General features: G+C 44.5%; 1 protein-coding gene across 11 annotated transcripts in view, besides 6 other annotated features; it reads right to left on the reverse strand.

Annotated features, from left to right (window-relative positions):
* Positions 1-27,454, reverse strand: part of CDKL1 (cyclin dependent kinase like 1) — a 71,034-nt gene extending 43,580 nt beyond the window's left edge. For 3 of the 11 annotated variants that reach the window (NM_001367064.3, NM_001423763.1, NM_001282236.3), the window contains exons 1-2: positions 27,374-27,454; positions 25,857-26,485 (exon numbers count right to left, since the gene is read on the reverse strand). In NM_001367064.3, coding sequence (NP_001353993.2) covers positions 25,857-26,024 — 168 coding nt within the window. In that variant the 5' untranslated portion in view covers positions 26,025-26,485; positions 27,374-27,454. Of the gene's footprint in view, positions 1-25,856; positions 27,038-27,373 lie in introns of those variants that run through there. The other 8 variants (NM_001423764.1, NM_001423767.1, NM_004196.7 and 5 more) reach the window with 4 other exon arrangements.
* Positions 1,459-1,960: an enhancer, noted in NCBI's record as "H3K4me1 hESC enhancer chr14:50838021-50838522 (GRCh37/hg19 assembly coordinates)". NCBI's record gives its function as "activates a minimal SCP1, AML or CMV promoter by ChIP-STARR-seq in primed H9 embryonic stem cells {active_cell/tissue: H9 hESC(primed)}" and the evidence as "EXISTENCE:reporter gene assay evidence [ECO:0000049][PMID:30033119]".
* Positions 1,961-2,460: an enhancer, noted in NCBI's record as "H3K4me1 hESC enhancer chr14:50838523-50839022 (GRCh37/hg19 assembly coordinates)". NCBI's record gives its function as "activates a minimal SCP1, AML or CMV promoter by ChIP-STARR-seq in primed H9 embryonic stem cells {active_cell/tissue: H9 hESC(primed)}" and the evidence as "EXISTENCE:reporter gene assay evidence [ECO:0000049][PMID:30033119]".
* Positions 26,741-27,190: a silencer, noted in NCBI's record as "silent region_5722". NCBI's record gives its function as "represses an Ori minimal core promoter by ATAC-STARR-seq in GM12878 lymphoblastoid cells {active_cell/tissue: GM12878}" and the evidence as "EXISTENCE:reporter gene assay evidence [ECO:0000049][PMID:35858748]".
* Positions 26,741-27,448: a biological region, named in NCBI's record as "H3K27ac hESC enhancer GRCh37_chr14:50863511-50864010".
* Positions 26,949-27,448: an enhancer, noted in NCBI's record as "H3K27ac hESC enhancer chr14:50863511-50864010 (GRCh37/hg19 assembly coordinates)". NCBI's record gives its function as "activates a minimal SCP1, AML or CMV promoter by ChIP-STARR-seq in naive H9 embryonic stem cells {active_cell/tissue: H9 hESC(naive)}" and the evidence as "EXISTENCE:reporter gene assay evidence [ECO:0000049][PMID:30033119]".
* Positions 27,130-27,355: a silencer, noted in NCBI's record as "fragment chr14:50863692-50863917 (GRCh37/hg19 assembly coordinates)". NCBI's record gives its function as "represses an EF-1alpha promoter that drives an FKBP-Casp9 reporter gene in an ReSE screen in K562 erythroleukemia cells {active_cell/tissue: K562}" and the evidence as "EXISTENCE:reporter gene assay evidence [ECO:0000049][PMID:32094911]".

Consider the following 27,533-nt stretch of genomic DNA (forward strand, 5'->3'; position numbering starts at 1 on the left):
CTGACCTCAAGTGATCCGCCCACCCCAGCCTCCCAAAGTGCTGGGATTACAGGCGTGAGCCACCATGCCTGGCTAATTATATATGTTTATGGGGTTCAAATTAATGTTAGGATTTATGACTATAATATGGAATAATTAAACCTAGCTAATTAACATATATCCATCACTTCAAATACTTACCTTTTTTTTTGTGGTAAGAACATTTGAAATCTACTCTTTTAGCAATTTTTTTTTTTTTCTTTGAGACAGAGTCTTGCTCTGTCACCCAGGCTGGAGTGCAGTGGCACGATCTTGGCTCACTCCAACCTCTGCCTCCTGGGTTCAAGTGATTTTCCTGCCTCAGCCTCCCAAGTAGCTGGGATTACAGGTGCCTGCCACCATGCCTGGCTAGTTTTTGTATTTTTAGTAAAGACAAAATTTCACTATGTTGGCCAGGTTGGCCTCAAGCTCCTGACCTCAGGTGAGCCACCTGCCTCAGCTTCCCACAGTGCTAGGATTACAGGCGTGAGCCCCTGCACTCAGCCTCTCTCAGCAATTTTGAAGTGTACAATACATAATTAACAACTGTATTCACCATGCTGTGCAACAGATCTTGGAAATGAAACTTATTCCTCTTGTCTAAGATTTTGTACCCTTCAACCATCATCTCTCCATTCTCCTCATCCCCTAGCCTCTGTAACCACCATTCTACTCTCTGCTTCTAAGAATGTATTAGGCTGTTCTCACATTGCTATAAATACCTGAGACTGGGTAATTTATAGAGAAAAGAGGTTTAATTAGCTCATGGTTCTGCCGGCTTTACAGGAAACACGGGGCTGGCATCTGCTTAGCTTCTAGGGAGGCCTCAGGAAGCTTACAATCATGGCAAAAGGTGAAGGAGGGGCAGGCATGTCACATGGCAAAACCAAGAACAAGGGAGAGAGAGGGAATTGGCAGTGGGGCATACCTGTTTAAATGACCAGATCTCACGAGAACTCACTATCACGAAGACAACACCAAGTAATGAGGGATCTGCCCCCATGATCTAAACACCTTCCACCAGACCCCATCTCCAGCACTGGGGATTATAATTCAACATGAGATTTGGGTGGAGACAAATATCCAAACTATATCAATGAATTCACTTGTTTCAGATTCCACATATAAGTGAGAACATGTGCATTTTTCTTTCTGTGCCTGGCTTACTCAGCAGCATAATGTTCCCCAATTTCATCCATGTTGTCACAAATGTCAGAATTTTCTCCTTTTTTAAGGCTGAATAGTACTGTATTGTGTATATATACTACATTTTCTTTATATATTCATCCACTGATGGCCACTTAGGTTAATTTTATGACTTTGGCTATTGTGAACAGTATTGCAATGAACATAGGAGGGCAGACATTTCAAATTTCACTTTTGGGTAAATACTCAGAAGTGGGATTGCTGGATCATATGGTAATTCTATTTTTAGTTTTGTGAGGAATCTCCATATATTTTTCCATAATTTACATTCCCATCAACAACTTTAAGGGTTTCTTTTTCTCCACATCCTCGCCAACATTTATCTTACATCTTTTTTATCACAGCCATCCTGACAGGTGTGTGATGATATATCATTGTGGTTTAAATTTGCATTTTCCTAATGATTAGAAATGTTGAGCATTTTTCCATATATCTGTTGGCCATTTGTATGTCCTCTTTTGAGAGATGTCCATTCAGATCCCAGGCTTATTTTTTCCCCCTTTTTTAGAGACAGTGATGGCACCAGTGGCCCATCTGGAGCAGCTGCTGCCATGATGCTGGCTGCAGTGGGGGAGGCGCAGCCATGGCTGTGTGCTCCCTGGAGCTGGCAGGAGCTGGGAACAGATGGGAGCCTCAGGTTGGAGGGGCAGGAGCCCCACCCTCCCAGGCAGCTGCAGACACCCAGTCATGGCTGCAGACCCGGGCATGTCTGCACACTTGGGACCTGGGAGGCCCCCCAACCCCTGCAGGCTCAGAAGTGCCATGCCTGCTCCTACTGCCTGACCTCTCCCCACTCCTGGTGCCCACTCCGATTTCAGAGCAAAGTTATGGCCAAGCCCAGGGACTGTCATGACCCAGCCAGGTGTGCGCATGCTCAGGGACATGCTGACACGCCAGCCCCCTGCTGCCTCGGACCCCTCTGGACTTTGGACACCACTGAGCATAGGAGGGAGGCCAAGGGAGGCCAAGGGAGGCCAAGGAAGGGGAACATCTAGTTTTTGAGCTGTTTGAGTGTATTATATGTTTTGGGTATTTTTGTTTTGTTTTGTTTTGTTTTGTTTTTGAGACGGAGTCTCACTCTGTTGCTCAGGCTGGAGTGCAGTGGAGAGATCTCGGCTCACTGCAACCCTTGCCTCCTGGCTGGGTTCAAACAATTCTTGTGCCTCAGCCTCCTGAATATTTGGGATTACAGGCGTGCACCACCACACCTGGCTAATTTCTGTATTTTTAGTAGAGACAGAGTTTTGCCATGTTGGCCAGACTGGTCTCAAACTCCTGACCTCAGGTGATCTGCCTGCCTCAGCCTCCCAAAGCACTGGGATTACAGGCGTGAGCCACCACACCCGGCCCGAGTTCATTATATATTTTGGATACATATAACCCCTTATCAGGAGTAGGGCTTGCAAATAGTTTCTCCTAATCCATAGGTTGTTTCTTTACAGTGTTGTTTTCTTTACTGTGCAGAAACTTTTTAGTTTCATGTAATCCAAATTGTCCATTTTTGCTTTTGTTGCCTATGCTTTTGGAGTCAAATTTAAAAAAATCACTGCCCAGACCAATGCTGTGTAATTTTCCCCCTATGTTTTCTTCTAGAAGTTTTACAGTTTAAGTCTTTAATCTATTGGGTTGATTTTTGTATATTGTGTGAGATAAGGGTCCAGTTTCATTGTTCTGCATGTGGACATCCAGTTTTCCCAACATCTTTTATTGAAAAGACTATGCTTTTCCCACTGTGTATTCTTGATGCTTCTATCAAAGATCAATTGACCATTCAGGTGTGGGTTCATTTCTGGGCTCTCCATTGTGTTCCACTGGTCAATGTGTCTAATTTTTTTTTTTGCCAGTACCATTGTGTTCTAATTACTATATTTTTATAAAATAGTTTGAAATCAGGTAGTGTGATGGCTCCAGCTTTGTTCATTTTTCTCATGATAGCTTTAGCTATATGGGACATTTTGTGGTTACATATGAATATTAGCATAGTTTTTTCTATTTCAATGGAAAATAACATTGGAATTTTGATCAAGATTGCATTGAACCTGTAGATTGCTTTGGGTAGTATGGACATTTTAACAATATTAATTCACTATGTTAAAAAAACACTATAAACAACGCCAAAAGACAAATAATTGCCTGGGAAATATTTGTTAAAGTTGCAACAAAGGGTTATATTCCTAATATTACAAAGAAGTCTTATTTATGTATTGTTAAGAAAAAGACGACCCAGTGGGAAAATGGGCAAAATATATCAATAGGTAATAGAAGAGGAAATATAAATGATAAAGGGACATATGAAAAGATGCTCAGTCTCACTGGTTGTAAGAGAAAGTCAAATTAGAGAAACAACGTGATGCCATTTATTTCCTAACCAGCAGGCAAACACGCAAGATTGGCAGCATCCAGTGCTGACAAGGGCATAGGGAAAGGGGTGTTCTCACACATGGCCAATTAGAGTGCAAACTGCTATAACTTTTTTGGGAAAGTTACTGGCAATATTTATTACATTAAAACCAAACGGACCAAAAAAATGAGCAAAAGATCTGAGCAGATACCTCACTGAAGAAGATATAATACAGATGGGAAATTTTAAACATATGAAAAGATGATTAACATCTTTTGTCATTAGGAAATTCCAAATTACAACCACAATGAGATACCATTACACACCTATTAGAATGGCTAAAATCCCCCAAAAAGCTGATAATACCAAATGCTGGTGAGGATACTGAGCAACAGAACCTCTCATTCACTGCTGGTCGGTGTGCTAAATCAGACAGCCACTTTGGAAAACAGTTTGGCAGTTTCTTACAAAGCTAAACATATCTATACCATATGAGCCAGTAATCACACTCCTAGGTATTTACCCAAATGGTTGAAAACTATGTCCATATGAAAACCTACAAGCAAATGTTTTTAACAGCTTTATTCATAATCACCAAAAACTAGAAGCAACCAAGTTGTCTTCCTATAGGAAAAAGGATGAAAAAATTGTGCTACATTCATATAACGTGATATCATCCACCGATAAAATAAGCTAACAAGCCATAAAAGACAGGTATAAAGTTTAAATGCATATTGTTAAGTGAGAGAAGCCAGTCTGAAAAGGCTACATATTGTACTATTCCAATTCTATGACATTCTGGAAAGGTAAAGCTACAGAGACAGTAAAAACAATAACAGGTGTCAGGGGTTCAGAGGATGTCGGGAGGGTTGAGTAGGTGAAACACACAGGATTTATTAGGGCAGTGAAACTATTCTATATGATACTGTAATAGTGAATATGTGATATTATGCATTGGGCAAAATGCATAGAACTTTACGACACAATGTGTGAACCTTAAGATATGCAAAGTGTTAAAAAATCATGTAGGAGGTTGGGGAATCCTAGGATAGAACAAAGACTGTGACAAAAAGAATCTAACTATATTACAAATGTATGAAACAACCTCACCAAAGAGGGTAGAGGAAAAGCTGATACAGGTTTCCAGATAAGCAAGGAGACAAGGCTAGAATGACCCATTAGATTTGTGAGCTAATCCCATCTCATTTGTCTACAGATTATAGTTGAAGACATCAGTATGAACTCTTGTTTAGCTTAATAAAGATACAGATGATTACATATAGAAATAACTCTAGATACATGTATGTACACAGGTTGGTATACACACATATATTACCTTGCTCTGTCAGCTGAAAGGGCCTAGAACCAACCACATCCTAGTAGCAATATGTATACCAAGTGCTTAGATCTCGTTTTTTGATACTAGTCTCTAATAGAAGGAACCAGGGATCCATGGAGAAATACTCAACTTGAACAATGAGAACATATGGACACAGGGAGGGGAACATCACACACTGGGTCCTGTTGGGGGTTGGAGGGCAAGAGGAGGGAGAGCATTAGGACAAATACCTAATGTGTGTGGGGCTTAAAACCTAGATGATGGGTTGATAGGTGCAGCAAACCACTGTGGTACATGTATACCTATGGAACAAACCCACACATTCTGCACATGTATCCCGGAACTTATTAAAAAAAATTAAAAAAAGAAATACCCAATTCTAGAACTTGGGCAGGAAATATATAAGATGAACATGGAGCATCTTGCAGTGCCAGAAAATAATAAAGTGTTAAAACCCAAACCAAAGCAAACCCTACATTGATGGAAGTATATCAAAGGGATATAATATCCACAAATCCATACTAATATAAATAAATGATTGACTGGATGAATGAATAAACAAATAAATAAAAGATAAGTCAGTGGGAGAGTAGATACATCTCCTATATTGGAGAATTCCAAATAATTTATGTTGATACTCCACCTTCAGGGACGGGAGCCTAACTTCTCCCTCTGTAGGAGTGCGCTGCACGTAGTGACTTCCTTCCAAACAGCATAGAATAGAATGGCAGAAGAAAAGTCACTTTACAGTGGAGAAACCTGACGACACTACCTCAGCCAGGTGATCAAGGTCAACATCAATAGTGGTAAGTCGCTGAGGCGGGCAGATCACAAGGTCAGGTGTTTGAGACCAGCCTGGCCAACATGGTGAAACCCCGTCTCTACTAAAAATACAAAAATTAGCCGGGTGTGGTGGCAGGCACCTGTAATCCCAGCTACTTGGGAGGCTGAGGCAGGAGAATCGCTTGAACCCGGGAGGCGGAGGTTGTAGTGAGTCGAGATGGTGCCACTGCGCTCCAGCCTGGGCAACAGAGCGAGACTCCATCTCAAAAAAAAAAAATAGCGGTAAGTCATGTTGATAGTATGTACACTTGATGGGATGGGACGTGGTCTTCTAGCCCATAACCCTGGTCTAATCATGAGAAAAAACAGACAAATTCCAACAGAGGGACATTCTACAAAATATGTGACCAGTACTCCTGAAAACTGCCAGAGTCATCAAAAACATGTAAACTCTGAGAAACTGTCACAGCCAAGAGGAGGCTGCGGACACAGCCTCCTCTAAATGATTACTAAATGATTACTAAATGTAATGTAGTTTCCTAGAAGGGATTCTGGAACAGAAACAGGAAATTCAACAAAAAATTAAAGAAATGCAAATAAAGTATAGATGGACTTCAGTTAATGATAATGCATCAGCATTGGTTCATTGATTATAGTAACTATACCATGCTAATATAAGATGTTACTAAAAGATAAAACTGAGAGCAGGGTATATGGGAACTCTACTATCTTCTAGTTTTTCCGTAATCTAAAACTATTCTAAAAATAAAATTTATTGAAAACACACACAGACACGTCCTCTTACTAGCACTCCACTTCTGAGAATATACTTTCCATAAATAAAAGCATCATTGCATAAAAATATCCATACCAGGATTCCAGCACTTCCTGTGGAGGCAAAAAATATGAAACAACATGAACATCCTGTAATAGAGGAGGATGGCTGAATACATTGTGCTATATTCAGACCAGGAAATAATAAATATTATGCAGGTATTAAGAAAGTACAATTAATAGAGGCCTATCTATTGGCTGATGACCATGATGTTATTGCTGAGTGAAGAAGGCAAGCTACTGAGTAATTTTATAAAAAATATATGAAAATAAATGTTCATTAAAATATGTGAAAATAGGAAGTACATGAAAAAATATTTTAAAATCCTTCCATTTTCATATATTCACTTGTCATATATTATTGTTAAGAACACTATATTGAGCCCTCTGCTCTGCTGGACACTACTGTAAGATCTGGGATTATATACTTAACAAAACTGACAAAAATCTCTGCTCTCGTGAGCTTATATTCAAGCACCCAGATGTTGATAAGTCTTATGGAAAGAAACAAGGTCGATAGGGGCATAGCGTGGTGGAATGGTGAAATTTAAATGAGGGAAGCCCTCACTGAGATGATAAATGAAAAAAGATCTGAAGAAGGTAAAGGTCTTAAGGATGTTTGGGAAAACGTTCCAAGCAGTAGGAGCAATCATTCCAAAGGCTTTTATGTGGGATTCTGCCTGGAGTGTTTCTAGAACAGCAAGGAGGTCAGTGTTTTAGTCGCCTCTTTTGTCTTGTTTCCCATTCTTTCAGCCCATCTTTTAATTGAAGATTTGCTGAAACCACTGCAGCAGCTAGCTTTGTGCGCCTGTAGCCTGACAGAGCCTCACCCCAGCTGTCCTTGGTTTTTGCTTTCTGCCCAGGCCTTGTGTGATGCTGAGGTGTGGGATGCTGCTGGGATTCGGTACTTGCAGGAGTTAACACTCCATAGGGGAGCCTTGGACCAATGGGGGACAGGGTGCTTCAGTGTCCTCTCTTCCGTTCCTTGGGCTCCTTAAAGAGGCCTGGCAGGATGAGTCCCCGTTCCTGGTTACATTGGGTTTCCTCCTTCCTTGTTTTCTCCCCTGTCACCTACTCCTGCTCTCTGGTATCACTTCCCAAAATAAACTCCTAACACACAGTTCCTGTCTCAGACTTTACTTTCTGGGAGGTGCACAGTCTAAGACCATTGGTACCTGAAGTGGCCTTAGCTAGCAGGCCTTCAGAATGGAATTCTGGAACTGGATCAATCATGGAGCAGATGGCAACAAGGACCCCACTGCTGATGATAAGTGGGGTGGGAGGAGCCCAGGGAGGTGTAGCAACACAGTCACTAAGCCTTTTGTCAGGGCTGGTTTTGAATGGGGTGTAAGCTTGCTTCGGCACTGCAGTGGCACATGAGTGGTATGCGGCAATGGTCATTATGGGAAGTATTGAATAAGCTGGCTCTTGTTAACACCTATAAATCACTGAAAAAAGAAAAAAGAAAATGACAGGGTCAGGTTAGCCACGAACAGTCATCTGTGGGAGTCAGGAGGCCTTGCTGGCAGTATTCAGAGACATTTATCTCCTACAGACAGGACAGACTGTGCCAAAAAATCAATCTCAGGACTTAAAGGGCAGCAGAGCTACAAAGGGGACAATATCCAGCCTCAACAGGTCTCTCATGTCTAAGTCAGGGCTATGGTGAGAAAAGAGAATCATCCTGAGATCTAGGATAGGGACATCTACGAGAAAGAGCCTGAGAATCTGAAATTCTCAAATTTCCCTGAACCTTCAGGGCTAGGAAAAGCAACTCAGTTCCATTGCTGTAGGTTAGCTGCTTCCTTTACCTGCAGACCTTAAAAATCCCTCACATGATGCAGGTGCCTCCTTAGGAGGGGGATGCCTGTCCTCCTTAGATTCTACCCCACCTCCTTCTAGGGCCCACGGACCTATAATAGGATGAGGTTGTTGCAGTGCCTGAGTAGGGCAATAAGGTTCTTGCTCTGCGAGGAAATAACTGCACTCAAGAATGACAAGACCTGCCTCATAGGTACCAGCAGCCGTCTTGAAGGGGCTGGGCCGTGATAGTAGTAAAATGTAAGGCTGGAAAAGGGGAAATTCATTAATATGAGAGCACTACACTGTCGCATAACTTGGGACTTAATTCTTGACAAGGACACCTGCAGACAGTTCTTTTTTAAATTTTACTTTTATTTTTTATAGAGACAGGGTCATAATCTGTCATCCAGGCTGGAGTGCAGTGGCATGATCATCGCTCCCTGCAGCCTTGAACTCCTAGGCTCAAGTGAGCCTCCTGCCTCAGCCTCCCCAGTGGCTGGGACCACAGGCACACATGACCATGGCTGGATAATTAAAAAAATTTTTTTTGTGGAGACAGGGTCTTACCATCTTGCTCAGGTTGGTCTCAAACTCCTGGCCTCAAGCGATTCTGCCACCTCCGCATCCCAAAGTGTTGGGATTACAGACGTGGGATACTGTGAGACACTGTGCCTGTCAAGACAATCTTTTTTTTTTTTTTTGAGACAGAGTTTCACTCTGTCACCCAGGCTGGAGTGTAGTGGTGTGATCTTGGCTCACTGCAACCTCCGCCTTCTGGGCTTAAGAGATTCTGTCTCCTCAGCCAACCGAGTAGCTGGGACTACAGGTGCGCACCATCACACGCAGCTAATTTTTGTATTTTTGGTAGAGACAGCATTTCGCCATGTTGGCCAGTTTGGTAACAAACTCCTGACCTCAAGTGATCTGCCCGCCTCAGTCTCCAAAAGTGCTGGGATTACAGGTGTGAGCCACAGCACACAGGAGACAGTCTTAAAATGTGCTGCTGGCATAGCTCTTTGAAGGTTGGGCTTTTAGTAGGTAAGGCAGACATGCTGGAAGTGCCTTGGCAGAGTATTGAGGAAGGGGCCTGGGGACTCAAGGAGGGGGAAATATTAGAAAGGATGTGTGATGTGGGACTGCAGGACCTACCACCTGATTATGTTTCCTTGGAAGGCCCAGAGGATACTCCCTCCACTGAAGCAGTAAGGAGCAGAAAGGAGCCCAGTGGCATCTTCAAGAGCTCATCACTGCTGTCCTCTGTGGGTGGGGTAGACAGGCTTGTCCTCAGTAGGCTGGAGATGCTACCACGGAACTAGGCTTTCTGGTTCTGATGAAAGTGATAAGATTCCAGAGTGGCAGAGACCAGGTGCTTACAGTGGCAAGGTACATAAAATTACCATGATGAGAAGCAAGCCAGAACACCTTATTTCACAGAAATCTGTGCTAATAATGCACAGGAATGCCATGGAGTTCCTATAGGTGAGATAGAAGGACAGCTGGCTCATGTGTCACCCGACTTGCATTGCCAGAAGAAACTGAGCAAGCAGAAGGTTGGTGTCAACAGCTAGAGTGGAAACCTGCAGCTCCTCGCCCAGTTTCTAGATCTAAGTCAGTTCCAGTCCAAAGTGTTGCTGACTGAGTCACCTTGAAGGAGGATCCTGCAATGCCACTGTGAGTATTCCTCACTTTTCAAAGGGATCTGTGGCTATTTACCAGAGTAACTGGGAAAGGAAAATACTCAGACCTTTCAAGGGCTGTGGCTACAAGGTCTGAGCTGGCACTGATATGTGGGGACCCCAAATGCTACCATGGCCTCAGGTTAGAGCACCGTTTCATACTGGGCTTAACAGGTCCATGAATCCATTCTTGAGATAACTTCCTCCACTTGAGAAATGCAAAATTGGCATAGGTATGCTTAACAGTCAGCTAAGCATACCCTCACATTGGTTCTATGACCTGTGAAGTAAGAGCCAATATGGCAGAAAGGGCCAAACACAAGCTCCTGAAACTGCTCTTCCTCCCTGGCAACACAACCCTGGTCAAAATAGTAAATCCGAAGCAAAACTGCATCCCAGGAGAAAATGCAGTGATGAGTACCACCATCAAAGACTTAGGAATGCAGAGGTGGTGATGCCCATGCTAACCCCCTCAACTCACCTGGTAGACTCCTATAAACTCAACCCAACTGTACTTCCAATTGCAGCAGCTGGGCCAGATATGGTATCTTTCCTGGAACTGATATACACAGGCTCTGGCACTTGACATGCAACTATTGACTTGAATGTATTCTTTCCAATACCAATCAGTAAGTTAGATCAAAAGCAGTTCACCTTGTGTGGGATGGACAGCAGTTCACACTCACTGTCCTGCCTGAAGCCTAAGTTAACTCTCCAGCACTCTGTCACCATATAATCCACAAGGACCTTAATTGTCTTGACGTTCCACTGAATATCATGCTGCTCCACTGTATTGATGACATCATGTTAACTGGATCTCCTGGTGAACAGAAATGGCAAGTACTCTGGCTGTCCAGTTAAGATATGTGTGTACCACAGAGTGGAAGAAAACCCTCTGGGGAATGGCATATAAGTGGTATTCTAGGAGTCCAATGGCCTGGGGCATGCTGTGACTTCCTTTTTTTTTTGGGACAGAGCCTTGTTCTGTCCTCAAGGCTGGAGTGCAGTGGCTAGAGTGCACTATATAGCTCTCTGTAGCCTTCAACTCCTGAGCTCAAGTGATCCTCCCACCTCAGCCTCCCAAATAGCTGTGACTACAGGTGGGCACCACCATGCCCAGCTGTATCCTCTTTAAAGGACAAATTGTTGCACCTTGTATCCCCTACCATTTAAAAAAGGGCATTGCTCCTGGTGGGTGTCTTTGGATTTTGGAGGCAGCATGTACAGCCCTTGGGCACTGCTCTGCCTAATTTACCAAGTGATTTAGAAGGCTGCTAACACTGAGTAGGACCCAGGACAAGAGGGAACTTTGCACAGCAGGTCAAAGCTGCCCTACTATTCAGGCCATATGACTTGGCATACCCAGTTGTGTACATGTGTCCAGTTCCTGGCATGTCATTGGGACTTGGTAGAGTGAGCACATGAATGTAGGACATCAAGTGACTGAGTAACCCAAAGCTGCCCACTGTGAGCTGGATAATAGAGATATACTGACCACTGTCCTAAGAAAACATCTGGAATCAGGCTCGAGCAGGTCTGGAGGGAACAAGCAAGTGACAAAGAGGTAGCTCCTTTTCCCAACTCATCTGTGTTGCTGCCCTGTTACCTCTCCTTCAGCTTACATGTATGAGGAACAAAGCCTCACACCTGGCTCACGGGTCTCTTCTGCATTCCTCTCAAGACCCAGCACAGGCCAGTGATGTGCACCGTGGATGCTTGACCTGTTTTACTGACTAACACAGTACGTGGAAAGTACTATGAGAGAAGGAATAGTACAATTGTGACAAAAATGAAAAATGGCACTGACACAGCCAAGAATTAATGCAGCAACCCTGTGATAAAGTCAATTATTTCATTGGTTTTTATGTGTGGCCGAAAACATCTGTTGGTTTAGAAATTCTGTGTGGTTTTTTGTTTGTTTGTTTGTTTGTTTGTTTGTTTGTTTAGATAAAGGGTTTCAGTCTGTCACCCTGGCTAAAGGGCAGTGGTGTGATCATAGCTCACTGCAGCCTGGAACTCCTGGGCTCAAGCTATCCTTCTGCTTCAGCCTCCCAAAGCGCTGGAATCACAGGAGTGAGCCACTGTGCCTGGCCAGTTTAGAAATTCTTAACCTTTCATTATTCCAGCAACGACAAAAAAATAGATGGAGTTCAAAGATTTTCAACCAGGCAATTTTACCCAAGAGTGTTTTCACTAGAGGGACTTTAAGGTTAATAAGCAATAAAGAAAGTTAATAATTAGCAAGAAAATATGCTTGTTGAAAGGAAATTTGTGGCCTAAAACACCAATTCTGCCAAGTAAAAAGGTGGATTAAAACATTTTTCAAGGCCGGGCGCGGTGGCTGACGCCTGTAATCCCAGCACTGTGGGAGGCCGAGGCAGGCGGATCACGAGGTCACGAGATCGAGACCATCCTGGCTAACGCGGTGGAACCCCGTCTCTACTAAAAATACAAAAAAATTAGCCAGGCGTGGTAGCGGGCGCCTGTAGTCCCAGCCACTCGGGAGGCTGAGGTAGGAATTGCGTGAACCCGGGAGGTGGAGCTTGCAGTGAGCTGAGATCGTGCCACTGCACTCCAGCCTGGGCGACAGAGCAAGACTCCATCTCAAAAAAAAATTTTTTTTTTTCAAAAATTTAAAGTGAAAGACACAAGCCTTGCCCCTTTAAGAATGTTTCCATTCATTCTGTATAAAAATTACTCCTTCCTTCCTTCCTTCCCTCCCTCCCTCCCTTCCTCCCTCTCTTTCTCTCTCTCTTTTTTTTTATTTTTGGCCAGGGTCTCACTCTGTCACCCAGGTGGGAGTGCAGTGACTCAATCACACTCACTGCAGCCTTGACCTTCCAGGCTTAGGTGATCCTCCCATGTCAGCCTCCTGAATAGCTGGGACCACTGGTGCACACCACCACACCTGGGTAATTTTCACATTTTTTGTAGAGACAAAGTTTCACTTGTTGCCCAGGCTGGTCTTGAACTCCTGAGCTCAAGCGATTTGCCTGCTTTGGCCTCCCAAAGCGTTAGGATTACAGGCGTAAGCCACCATGCCCAGCCAATAATTACTACCTTTTAGTGTGGTTTACAGTTTTTTGTTTTTTTTTTTTTTTGAGACGGAGTCTCGCTCTGTTGCCCAGGCTGGAGTGCAGTGGCACGATCTCTGCTCACTGCAAGCTCCACCTCCCAGGTTCACGCCATTCTCCTGCCTCAGTCTCCAGAGTAGCTGGGACTACAGGCGTGTGCCACCACGCCTGGCTAATTTTTTGTATTTTTTAGTAGAGACGGGGTTTCACCGTGTTAGCCAGGAGGTCTCCATCTCCTGACCTCGTGATCCATCTGCCTCGGCCTCCCAAAGTGCTGGAATTACAGGTGTGAGCCACCATGTCTGGCCGGTTTGGAGTCTTATAATAACGATATGTAATACACACTGTCGGCTGGGCGTGGTGGCTCATGCCTATAATCTCAGCACTTTGGGAGGCCAAGGCGGGCAGATCACTTGAGGTCAGGAGTTCGAGACCAGCCGGGCCAATATGGTGAAACCCTACCTCCACTAAAAATACAAAAATTAGCTGGACATGGTGACGTGTGCCTGTAATCCCAGCTACTCAGGAGGCTGAGACAGGAGAATCGCTTGAACCTGCGGGGAGGAGGAGGTTGCAGTGAGCTGAGATTGTGCCACTACACTCCAGCCTGAGCAACACAGTGAGACTGTCTCAAAAAAAAAAAAAAACAAACAACAACAACAACAACAACAAAATGCTGTCCACCTAGAAATTTTACAGGTTAGAAATAAAAATAATTTAAGGGGCAAAAAAGCAATAGCATAAATTATGTCTTTTATCAATGTGAATTACAAAAATCACTTTTCCTGCCTCCTCTTGCTCTGTGACATTTGTTTTCTAGAGTCTACAGTGTGTGGCAGGGTGTGTGTAGTGGCGGCAGAACACTGACAGATGGTGGTATGTGCTTAATCTCCTTGCAAACTGGGAGTCTTTAAGAAGGTAACGAGCCAGCTTGTTGGTTTCTGCTTCTGTTGTTCTGAAAGTATTTGTGTGGCAGCTTTATCACTTAGGAGTTCACTACACAGCCGGAATATAATCTTTCTAGATAAACACATCAAGAGCTCAACCAAAAATCTTCTAATAAACAAACAAAACAGCCTGTTACTATTTGCAGTTAGTATATTATCTTGTAAAAATAAAATTCAACAGGTCCCCACTTGTTGAACCAATAGGGAGAGATAATGATAAGAGGATTGTTTGGTTTCTATCATTGTGGGCAAGGGAATGCTCTGTTTTGTCTCCTATGCTACTGACAACCAGTTTACATAAACTCCCAGCATCTATCTATACATTAGTAATGAACATCAATGGGCCAGATCTCTGTGAGTCTCTTATGAGAACATGTGCAGAGAATGAAAACTGTCCAATCCCTAAGGCCCCAAACTGGCAGCTTATATGGCAAACATTATCTGCAGATGTGTTTTACTTGGCCTGAATGATGTTTAAAATTTTTAAAAATTATTTGTCAACATTTTAAGGTCAAGAGATCTCATTCTCACTAAAAGGAACCAGGGGTCTCTGGAGAAATGGCTGATACAGGGCTGGGGCAGGATGAGCCTGGGACATTTGGCTGTGCCACACAGTAAGCAAGTGCTCAAAGAAGGATGGACATCTGTCAGGACACAGGAGTTAGATGGAAGGAGCCGCAAATGCTAAATGTGTGATAATTGAGAGTCAGAAAGAATACTGACAGTGATGGTGTGTAACATATTGAATTTTTAAAAATCCATGAATCCACAGTGATATGAAAAGGAGGGGTGGGGGCAGAGGGGAAGAAAATCTTTCTTTTTTTTTTTTTTTACAGAAAAATGATAACTAATGAGTGTAGAAAGAATTGTAGAAAAATAACTATTTTACAATAACTGTTTTACATCACCATTGGTTGATGCCGGCTATGGCGGCTCGGTTCACACCTGTAATCCCAGCACTTTAGGAGGCCGAGGTGGGTGGATCACTTGAGGCCAAGAGTTCGAAACCAGTTTGGCCACCATGATGAAATCCCGTCTCTACTAAAAATGCAAAAATTAGCCAGGCATGATGGCAGGCACCTGTGATTCCAGCCACTCAGGAGACTGACGCAGGAGAATTGCTTCAACCCAGGAGGTGGAGGTTGCAGTGAGCCAAGATCGCACCACTGCACTTAAGCCTGGGTGACAGAGCAAGACTCTGTCTCAAAAAAAAAAAAAAAAAAAAAAAAAAAAAAAAAAAAAAGAACCATTGGGTGAAAGTTGTTGGGGAACAAGGTCGCCACAGTTTCAAAATATCACCCCACAGATTATTAATTATAAAGGAGAAAATCATTTTTACAATTGAGAAATATGGCAGACCCATCTTAACTAAGGAATTAAAACTGATAGTACCAATTAGGGGACAAAAATGACATCATACACTTACTGATGGGAGCTAGTGTGAAGAACACAGCTTCACCCATGCAGTGTTCTTACTGAAAACATTTAACCTGTATCAAATCATTTGGAAACAGCCAGTTAGTCTAAGTCGAGGCACATTCCACAAAACAGATGGCCTGGACTTTTCAAAAATGTCAGTTTCATGAAAGATGAAATAAGAGAATAAAGAAGGTGGAAAACTCTTTCAGATTAAAGGAGACTAAAGAGTCATGGCAATGGGCCAGGCGTGGTGGCTCACACCTGTAATCCCAGCACTTTGGGAGGCCAAGGCGGGTGGATCACAAGGTCAGGAGTTAAAGACCAGCCCGGCCAAGATGGTGAAACCCCATCTCTACTAAAAATACAAACATTAGCCAGGCGCGGTGGCAGGTGCCTGTAATCCCAGCTACTCGGGAGGCTGAAGCACGAGAATCGCTTGAGCCCAAGGGGTGGAGGTTGCAGTGAGTTGAGATTGCGCCACTGCACTCCAACCTAGGCAACAGAGCAAGACTCCGTCCCAAAAAAAAAAAAAAAAAAAAGTCATGGCAATGTACAGTCACTGAATAGATCCTGGATTTAAAAATAACTATACACATTTATATATATAGTTATTTCATTATATATATAGTTCTATAACCATTATTAGAACAATATGAGAAATTTGAACATAGACTATATATTAGATAATAGTATTGAGTCAATGATAAATTTATTGAGTATGGAAATCATAATGTGATTATACAGAAGAACATCTTTGTTTCAGGAGATTATGCTAAATATTTAGGTAGATGGCTCAGCCAAAAAAGTATGTGTGAGAGAGGGGGAAAGAAAGAGAGAGAGAGAGGCAGAAACAGGGATAAAGGAAGTACAGGCACAATGGCTCATACATGTAATCCCAGGGCTTTGGCAGGCTGAGGTGGGAGGATTGCTTGAGGCTGGGAGTTTGAGACCAGCCCGGGCAACATAGTAAAATCCTATCTCTACAAAAAATAAATAAATTAGTCAGGCACTATGGCTCACACGCCTGTAATACCAGCAACTCAGGAGGCTGAGGCAGAAGGATCACTTGAGCCCAGGATTTCAAGAATACAGTGAGCCATGACTGTGCCACTGCACTGCAGCCTGGGCAACAGAGTGAGACTCTGTCGCTAAAAAGAATGAAAAAAAGACAGAAAGGAAATGCAGCAAAATTCTAACAGTTGATGAACTAATCTAGCGAAGGGTATGCAGGTATTCATTGCAGTATTCTCTCCACTTCTGTATATTTTGATTTTTTTCTCAGAATAAAAGGTTGTAGGAAAAATCCCAGGACACTTTACATAAAATTCTGATTTCTGGCTTTTTAAAAAAGACTCTGGCTGGACATGTTGGGGGTCATGCCTGTAAACCCAGTACCTTGGGAGACCGAGGCAGGAGGATTGCTTGAGCACAGGAGTTTGAGACCAGCCTGGGCAACATGGAGAAACCCCATCTCTACAAAGAATACAAAGAATTGGCTGGGCGCAGTGGCTCATGTCTGTAATCCCAGCACTTTGGGAGGCCGAGGTCAGGAGTTTGAGACCAGCCTGGCCATCTCTACTAAAAACACAAAAACCAGCCAGGTGTGGTGGCATGCACCTATAATCCCAGCTGCTCAAGAGACTGAGGCAGGAGAATCACTTGAATCTGGGAGGTGGAGGTTGCAGTAAGCCAAGATCGCGCCACTGTATTCCAGCCTGGAAGACAGAGCGAGACTCCGTCTCAAAAAGAAAAAAAAAAAAAGAATACAAAGAATTAGCCTAGTGTGGTGATGCATGCCTGTAGTCCCAGCTATTCAGGAGGCTGAGGTGGGAGGATCACCTGAGCCCTGGAGATTGAGGCTGCGGTGAGCCATCATTGCCCCACTGCACTCCAGCCTGGGCAACAGACTGAGACCCTGTCTTAAAAAAAAAAAAAAAATGGGGGTGGGGGTGGTGGGCCTGATGCGGTGACTCATGCCTGTAATCCCAGCACTTTGGGAGGCCGAGGCAGGTGGATCACCTGAAGTCAGGAGTTCACAACCAGCCTGTCCAACATGGTGAAACCCCGTCTCTACTAAAAATACAAGAAATTAGTTAGGCATGGTAGTGGGCACCTGTAATCCCAGCTACTCAGGAGGCTGAGGCAGGAGAATCGCTTGAGCCTGGGAGGCAGAGGTTGCAGTGAGCCCAGATCATATCATTACACTCCAGCCTGGGTGACAAGACCAAGACTCCATCTCAAAAAAAAAAAAGACTGAAAACCCAGCACCTTAGGCTTGCAGTCTGTGGCACTGAGCAGTAGCTGTCCACTTTAGATCAGACATGAGGACCCCAGTTTGCCCCAGTCTCCACCTCTCCATCTTGCCCTATATTCAGACTGCTTCCCTCATTTATGTTAACAGTGTGATTCCACAGACATTTGGGTTTGTTAATCCATAATCCATAACAGAAAATGCTGAACTCAGCTAAAACAATTAATAGACATATGTTATTAATTCACCTCAACAAGCCAATTAAACAATTTGAAGAGAGGGAGCCTAGAATGACCCCTATTAGCAAAAGCAGGATGAAATTCTTAAAGATGTCACAGGATTTTCCACTGAGGTGTTTGTTTGTTTGTTTTGTTTTTTTGAGACAGAGTCTTGCCCTGTCGCCCAGGCTGGAGCACAATGGCTCTATCTCGACTCACCGCCACCTCCACCTCCCGGGTTCAAGCGATTCTCCTGCCTCAGCCTCCCAAGTAGCTGTGGTTACAGGTGCCCGCCACCACACCTGGCTAATTTTTTGTATCTTTAGTAGAGACGGGGATGTTGGCCAGGCTGGTCTCAAACTCCTGACCTCGTGATCCACCTGCCTCAGCCTTCCAAAGTGCTGGGATCACAGGCATGAGCCACTGCAGCTGGCTGAGGTTTTTACTGAGTGAGGAAACACTCCTTCAACTAATATTTGAAGAGCAGAAGCCCTTCCAACTATGAAAGTTCTAATTAGATTCTAATGCTAGGGAGCATTTACATGGTACTCTTAGCATTTAGTGGATGTGGCACTGCACAGAGCACATTCAGTTAAGCACTTAATAAATGCTTTGGATAACAGGCAACCTTGACAGTCCTACTTCTTAAAGCATGTGCCTGTCACCATGATGGTAATGTGCCCAGCAGGACTTCTGGTCTGCTCTTTGAAGACAGTGAGCCTCTTGGGGGACTGTGTGAAGAGCTTTTGCCTCCAGCGCCTCCGTTGGCCGTTGGCCACAGCACTATGTTAAAATCCCACCTTCTGCCCTTCTGTCTGTGCTTTCCTCTTCTATGTTTACTCCCTTTGACCCTCTACTTTCCTGCTCTTGCATCCTTGAGGCTGCTTGACCGCTGTTAGATGTTTGGCCCAAGAGCCCTCTGCCCTCCTCAGCAAAAAATCAGCAAAGCAATGCCAAACAGGGACATAAATCATAGCGATAAGGCACGCCAGGCTCCAGGAAGCACCAGAGCTTGCCCAAGGTCACTCCACAGCTTCAAGCATGATCAGAAACTGAAGTTCCATAGCTGGGTGTGGTGGCTCATGCCTGTAATCCCTGTACTTAGGGAGGCCGAGGGAGGCGGATCATGAGATCAGGAGTTTGAGACCAGCCCGGACAACACAGTGAAACCCTGTCTCTACTGAAAATACAAAAATTAGCTGGGTGTGGTGGCACGCCCCTGTAGTCCTATCTACTGGGGGAGGCTAAGGCAGGATAATCGCTTGAACCCAGGAGGCAGAGGTTGCAGTGAGCCGAGATTGCGCTATTGCACTCCAGCCTGGGCAGCAGAGTGAGACTGTCTTCAAAAAAAAAAAAAAAAAAAAAAAAAAGAGAGAGAAAAGAAAACTGAAGTCTCTAACTGTAGCTCCTGTCCCCATGCCCCTGTCCCTTCTATAAGGCTACTGATCAAAGGGGACAGCAGGGAAAAAAGGGATGCTCTGGACATTCTGCAGGTTACTATTCACGATGAATTAAAATCAAATGAGAGCCTACTTCTGGCACCTAGGATACACTCAACAGTGCCACTCGCCCACACCCCATGCACCTTTTTTCATTTCTCTCCCTCAAAGAGTCATTTTACACATTTTTTCTAATCACTTACCAATGAAATTTTAATATCACAAATATACTATATATCTGTATATGAACCATATGTATATCTGTGCTTTAAACAATAAAAAAGTTAGATTTTTTTGCCACCTGCCAAGAACCAATTTTCACCCTTTAGGAGTGACCTTGTTCTCATTATGAATCTCTGCATTACGTTGTGATATTTATAATTAATTTTCAAATGGACATTTCCCCTCACACTTATTCTCATCTTTGTAGGTGGCAAACCTACAAAGGTTTGTACAAAGGTTTAGAAGGCTATTTTAGCCTTCTAAAATAGTCCATAGGGTTATGGAATGAGATATGGAAAGAACGGCTGTTCAGCTACAATCTGCACTCAGGCCTCCACAGAAGCCACAAATCTCACAGCTAAGGCCCTGCGGGAGAACGGGCAGTATAAATTCTGACGACCAGTCATTGGGAGACTTCAGAGTATGGTGTTTGGTATAAAGTGATGGATGGTTCTGGTATGGGGAAACCACATGGCATGAACTTGGGGACAGACAGAACTGTGTCTGCATTCCAGCTTACTGACCGGGAGGCCTTGGCAAATCATTAACCATACTGAATCCATTTGTAAAATGGGATAACAATATCTACCTTCTAAGGTTGTTATTAGTGTAACGATATCTACCTTCTAAGGTTGTTATTAGTGTAATTTGTGCATCCTAAGTAACAATGATACTTGGCAGTTTGTCCAAATTTACTAGGTCCCTTGCCCCTACCTGCCACATAGCAGTAGATGATTCCTTCTCTTTGTCTCACTTGTTTTTCTTGTTTTCTGGAGGGAGACATGTCATAGACAATGTCCCAGCTGCTGCTTTCAGCCCTTGACCAATGCTGGTCTAATATATTTTAACGCCCCCATACCACCTGCCATAGGTAGAACGTCTGCCCAGGGATCCCACAGTGACACTGTCCTGTCCTTGACCTCCAACTCCGCTAGGAGCATCTACTTTTTCTGCCACTGCTGGCAGAAATTCTTTCTTTCCTCTTCTTACCATTTTCATTCCACAGAGAGAAGGTTCAGCAGCATAGGGGCTTGGGGCCTTAGTAATACAATTATTCTATTGTATTACTTTGTATTTGTATGGTTTGTATTTGTTTTGTATTTGTTTGTTTTGGTTTGTATTACTTTGTATTTGTATGGTTTGTATTTGTTTTGTATCTGTTTGTTTTGGTTTGTATTACTTTGTATTTGTATGGTTTGTATTTGTTTTGTATTTGTTTGTTTTGGTTTGTATTACTTTGTATTTGTATGGTTTGTATTTGTTTTGAACCACATAGCCCTTTCCTTGCCCCTTGCCGGACACACAGATATTCCCCTAGGGGCTGCATGGAGTTCAAGTGCATCCAACTGCTTTATGCAGACCACTGCCCACTTTCCACGACAGGGCCTGTGATGCTCCAGCCCATCATGCCTGACTTCTTGATTTTTCTTTTTTTTTGAGACAGTGTCTTACTCTGTTGCCCAGGCTGGAATGCAGTGGCACAAATCACGGCTCACTGCAGCCTTGACTCCCAGAACTCAGGTGATCCTCCCACCTCAGCTTCCTGAGTAGCTGGGACTACAGGTGCATGCCACCATGCCCAGCTAATTTTTCTATTTTTTGTAGAGATGGGGTTTCACCACGTTGCCCCTGCTGGTCTTGAACTCATGGGCTCGAGAGATCAGCACGTTGGCCTCCCAAAATACTGGGATTACAAGCGTGAGCCACCACACCCAGCTCCTGACTTCTTGATTTAACGTGATTTTCTTCCTGTTACCTTGTCTTTCTCTGTAATCTGACTTCTGTTATGACCACCCTACCTCTCATCCAATAAATCCTTAGTATGTTTAAACCTGAGTTACGGAAAGGAGTTGAATTCAGGTAGGGTCCATGTGTCATATGCAAATCAGAAGACGGTGAATACCCTGGTAGAAGAAGTTCCACCCCATAGCTTAGAGCCAGCTGTGGATCCTGTTACAGAAAGATTAAGGAGAGTGTATGTAAAGAATCTAGCAGTCTTGCTCTGTCGCCCAGGCTGGAGCACAGGGGCACGATCTCAGTTCACTGGAGCCTCTGCCTCCCGGGTTCAAGCGATTCTCCTGTCTCAGACTCCCAAGTAGCTGGGATTACAGGTGCCTGACACCACGCTTGCCTAGTTTTTGTATTTTTAATACAGATGGGGTTTCACCATGTTGGCCATGTTGGCCTCAAGCTCCCGACCTCAAGTGATCCGCCCGTCTCAGCCTCCCAAAGTGCTGGGATTACAGGCGTGAGCCACCATGCCTGGCCTAAATTGTCTTTTTTTATGCAATGATATTTATGTTTGGTATGGTTCAGGGCAGTAACTCAAGGTCACGGGTCCAGCAATTCTCTCCCTCCTCCAACATCAAGTTTTTTCTCTACTGGATTTATTTACACCATTAGCATACAAATGTACTTCTCACTCGTATAATAAAAACAACCACAAAAAAAACCTGTCTTCAGCCCACATCTTTACGAACACCTCTGCCCCATTTTTGTCTTCCTTTTGTAATAAAACTCTTCAAAACAGTTGCCCATATCATTATCTCCACTTTGTTCCTCTCGTCTCTCTTAATCCCTTGCTGATGAAGGTTTCATTCCTGCCTCTCCACTCACACAGCTCTTGTCAAGGTCGCCAAAGACCCTCACATGATCAAAGCCAATGGCTAATCCTAAATCTACTAATGGAGACACAGAGCATCCCCTCACTTTTGAACAATCTTCTTCACTAAGCTTTTAAGAACACTATGGCCAGGAGCGGGGGCTCACGCCCATAATCCTAGCACTTTGGGAGGCCAAGGTGGGCGGGTCATTTGAGGTCAGGAGTTTGAGACCAGCCTGACCAACATGGTGAAACCCTCTCTCTACTAAAAATACAAAAAGTGGCCAGGTGTAGTGGCAGGCACCTCTCATCCCAGCTACTTGGGAGGCTGAGGCAGGAGAATCTCTTGAACCTGGGAGGCGGAGGTTGCAGTGAGCTGAGATTGTGCCACTGCACTCCAGCCTGGGTAGCAGAGTGAGACTGTCTCCAAAAAAGAAATAATAATAATAATAATAATAATAATAATAATAATAATGAAAGAACATTGTTCTATGGGGTTTCCTACCATGCAGATCGCCTCTTCTTGCCTCCCTTGCCGGTTCCTTTTCATCTTCCTGACCCCCAAAGGCTGGGTACACCAAGCTTCCACCTTTAGTACCTGTCCCTCCATCCCACATGGTGACCTCCTCCGGTCCCACAGCTTTAAATACCATCGATATGCTTATGTCCCCCAACTCTGTCTCCAACCTGGACTTCCCCTGAATGCCAGACTTGTGTAGTCAACTGCCTACTTTACAAGTCTCCTTGGGTTCACAACTCAAACTTAACCTGTCCAAAACAGAGCTCTTCATCTCCTTTCCCCCACATTTGCACCTGGGTCTCTCTATCACAGTGAACAATCTCCTCATTCTTCCAGTCAATCAGTCAAAAACCTTGAAATTGTTCTTGATTTCTCATCCAATCATTAGATTCCTATGTGCTCTTCTTTCAGAAGAAATCTAGAATATGACTTGATCCTGCCGGACCCTGGCTTCCCCCTTCCTTCTCTCCCTGGCCTGTTAGCACCCACTGGGCATCTTGGCTAAGACACTGGGTTATTACCTGTGTTCCCTCAATATAGGGTGCTTTCTACTTATGCACCTTTTCCTAGGATAGAGTGTCTGCCTGAAATGCCTTATCTCTCATTCCACGTTTCCCTAAACATTTCAAAGTTCAGCTCAAACATGCCTCCAATCACTTTATTTTCACCATTCAACAAGCACCTAAAGAGTTCTTACCAGGCAAGGGTACACATGCCCTGCTCACTGGGAACCCAGTCTATAAGGGGTGAGAGCCAAAGGGCAATTCAACTTACCTCCCTTCCAAGAGCTGAGCTTCTGAAAGACAGGGTGTACAACTTTGCATAAACATCGTTTTAGGCACAACTGGGGCTCTATGAGTATTTACTGAATCCATAAATGGAGAAAATAAAATGTTCATTTACCATACCCTCAATTCACCTACTCAACAAATATTTATTAAGTATCTTTATTTTATAAGTGACAGGGTCTCACTGTCACCCAGGCTAGATAGAATACAGTGGCCTAATCATAGCTCACCATAGCCTTGAACTGCTGGGCTTAAGCCATCCTCTTGCCTTGGCCTCTTTCCTTAGTAGCTAGGACCACAGGCACGCACCACCATGCCCAGCCTAGTACGTATTATGTGTTAGGAATATCACACAACTCTGAAAAGTTACAGCTTTAAAGAACAGACTCTACCTATAATCTAGTCCCACCATTTCATAGAGATCAGTGGTGTCTACATCTGTGCACTTAATTTGGAGAGTGGGGTGCTGCATGCTTTGAAATCAGGCTCATGTGTACACAACCCCATCCTTTGGAGGATATCAATATTCAGATAAGAGAACACATTTGACTTCCCCATTTATTGGCAACATCCACCTTTGTTAAGAGTTTATTTTGTTAACTTTTTTTTCCAATCCAACAATGACATTTTTTGGAGGCCTAGATGTGCCAACTAGTGTGCTTTGGGGATATAGAGCTACAGAGGCAAGGTCTCCATCCCAGAAGAACTCAATGAATTTGGGGAGCTATCACTGTTAATGTAGTATTGATAAAGTGTAGTGAGAGATTTGAAAGGAGCATTCACAAAAGTAATCTTCAGAATCAGAAAAAGAGTATCTTTCTGCAAGAAACAGATTTTCTTTCAGGTAAATGAACCCTTTGAAATGTAATGATCACCTCCTCCCCTGGGAAAGCCTGAGGAAGTGAAAATGCCCAACAGCCTCTCCCTGTGTACAGAGAGGGTAAGGGTAGGGTGACCCGGGCAGGGGGATGGTCAAAACACTGCAGGTCTCACCCCTGCCCATGGGAGCACTCCCCTGCGGGGCTTTGGAAGCATCTCCTCTCAATAGATAATATCCTGTTGGTTAAGAACATTCCAAACCTAAATAGAGAAGTTGCCCTGTTACCCACCCATTCCAATTTATCCAAAGCTTGCTACTTTCCATTTAGGTTCCTTATCTAGAAGTGACCCCACACACTTATCCATGGGCACAAGATTTGTAGAGTGATCTGGAGAAAATGGAGAAGCAAGAATAATAGTAAATCCCCTGGAAGTTTCATTCATCTGTCTCTCATCAAGTAGCTCTTCCCTTGTCACATAGTAGTTATACAGGTCAGAACAGAGAGGCCATAACTGAAACAAAGTTGACCTCCACCATATTCATTACATGTCACCTTTCACATTGCGATTTGGATTTTACCTTCACAGAAGTTCTGTAAAGTAGTCTCTCCATTAGCGAAAAACACACTTTCAGCTTGTAATAAATACCTTTCCCCCCTCTGATATCATGTTATTTTTAGGGTTAACTAATAAACATTTGAAAAGTGATCAGGCCAGGCTCGATGGATCATGCCTGTAATCCCACCACTTTAGGAGGCCAAGGTGGAAGGATCACTTAAGGCCAGGAACTCGAGACCAGCCTGGCCAACATAGCAAGATCCCATCTCTAAAAAATGTTAAAAAAAATTAGAAAGTGATCATTTCACTTCTTTAAGAAAAACGCTTCTTTTTAGAAACGGGACATGATGATGCTCAGCAGTAAATACATATGAGGTGTAATGAGAATCTGTGAGCTTCCTAGCAGTTTGAAAACAGGTAAATGTTAATTCTCTTAATAGACTGAGTATACCAATAGGAAATACCTTAGAAGTTTAAAAATCAACAATGCCAGCAAAATTGAATTGTCTTACATTCCTATACTATCAAATTGTAATGGTCCTTGAAAACCCAGGTCTACAGGTGGGAGAGAAATTATGGGGAAGAAAAATAAATATCCCACAGCATCTCTAAAAGTGAATGCCACCTTACCTGGCACTTTTGTCTCTGCTTTCTAGTTCATTATATAATTAGTGACTTGTGCACAGATATCCCATTTGTGTCACTGAAGTCAAAAGGCTATGAAGTAAGATATAACCATGTCCCATGACATTCTTTTAACATAACATGACTCACTTTATTTCTTTCATCCCTAAAAATTCACTTTAAAGAAAAAGTGGATCCCGGAGCAGTGGCTAGAACCTGTAATCCCAGCTACTCAGGAGGCTGAGGCAGAAGCATGGCTTGAGCCCAGGAGTTCCAGGCTGCTGTGAGCTATGATCACATGGCTGCACTCCAGCCTGGGAGACAGAGTGAAACCCTGTCTCGAAAAAGAAAAAAAAGGAAAAGTGAATCAATTACCTTGAGCATTCGGATTTCCCGAAGGGCAATTTTCTTTATGACAGGGTCATCTTCTGATTCCAGAAACTTCTTGATGGCCACAATCTGACCCGTGTCCCTGTTTCTACATTTGAAAACAACTCCATAGGATCCTTCTCCAATTTTCCCAATTTTTTCATACTTCTCCATCATAGAGGAATAAATCTTCTTAAAATGGATCTTCAGCCGAGAATGGTGGCTCACGCCTGTAATCCCAGCACTTTGGGAGGCTGAGGCGGGCAGATCACCTGAGGTCAGGAGTTCGAGACCAGTCTGGCCAACATACTGAAACTCCGTCTCTACTAAAGATACAAAAAATTAGCCGGGTGTGGTGATGGGCGCCCGTAGTCCCAGCAACTCAGGAGACTGAGGCAGGAGAATCGCGTGAACCTGGGAGGCGCAGGTTGCAGTGAGCCGAGATCGCGCCACTGCACTCCAGCCCGGGCGACAGAGCGAGATTCCGTCTCAAAAAAAAAAAAAAAAAAAAAAAAAAAAGAAAGAAAGAAAAGAAAAGAAAGGATCTTCACATAGTTTGAAAACGTCGCTTATAAAATATTGGCACCAACGGACTGCACTAGAGCCCCACCCAACGATGAGTGTTTGTCACGGTCCTAGAACAGAACAGCACATGTTAAGGAATGAAGAGTGTACCCGTGTCGGCAATGGCAACGCGATCAGGAGTAACAGCCTAGAGTTAGCTGCCTCCAGTAACCCGATTTTAATCGCCCGTTAAATACCCTGTAAGTTAAAATGTAACTTGCCATCCTAAAACGAGCCGAGCTGTAAGATAAGCTATCTTTTTAACGTTATCGTTCATCCGATCTAAGACACCTGAGCTGGCTGGAGTACGGGGAGGGCTAAGGGCTTCCCCGGTTCTAATTTCGGGTCTCATTTCCCTGCGGCAAGAAGACACCTCCCGGCTCCCCGCGGAGGCGGCGGCGAGGCTTGGCCGCAGGAGACCAACCCGCGCCCCGCGCCCCACGCCCCCGGGACTGGGAAAACCCTCCCGCGCCCGGACGTGCACCTCAGCCGCGCCGCGCAGCATGGAGCGGTGCCACGTGTTGGCCAGGGACGGCCCGCGCCTCCTTGCCCGCCCGGGACTCACGGCGCCGCGGCGGTCAGGGACGGGCCTGGCTCCCGCCTCGCCTTCTTCCGCCCAGCTCGGCTCGGCGTGGCTCGGCCCGCGATCCCTATGGGAACCGGCTCCCGCCCCGGGTCTGCCTGGGCGGGGCCGCCGCGCCCCAGCTTCCCACCCCCGGCCCGGCCCAGCCCGGCCGCCCTCCCGGCTGCAGGGAAAGGCCTCGGAGGGCCGCCCTCCGTCCATGGGAGCTGTCCTGACCGCGGGCCGAGTCCTGCTGCCGGGAGAGCAGACCTGCTAGATTTGCAAACTTCCGCAGGCCGTGCAAAGCGCAGCTGTAACCGCGTCTGCGGAGCAAGACGCCTGCGCTAGGAGCCCCTCCTGAGCGGTCCACATTTCCCTGCAACAGCAGTCCCCACACCTCAGAACCGCGGTTATTCCCTTTGGTCCCTTGGAGGCATCTTCTGTGTCTGTGCTGATCAGTGCTGCGGCGTCAGTGAATGAATGAGAGGGAGAAAGGAAAGAAGAGGAAGGCGTGACTGCAGAAATTGCTTAAAGTCAGCACTTTCCTCTACAGTAGG

The sequence above is a fragment of the Homo sapiens genome, chromosome 14, assembly GCF_000001405.40.
Source record: "Homo sapiens chromosome 14, GRCh38.p14 Primary Assembly".
Lineage (NCBI taxonomy): Eukaryota > Metazoa > Chordata > Mammalia > Primates > Hominidae > Homo > Homo sapiens.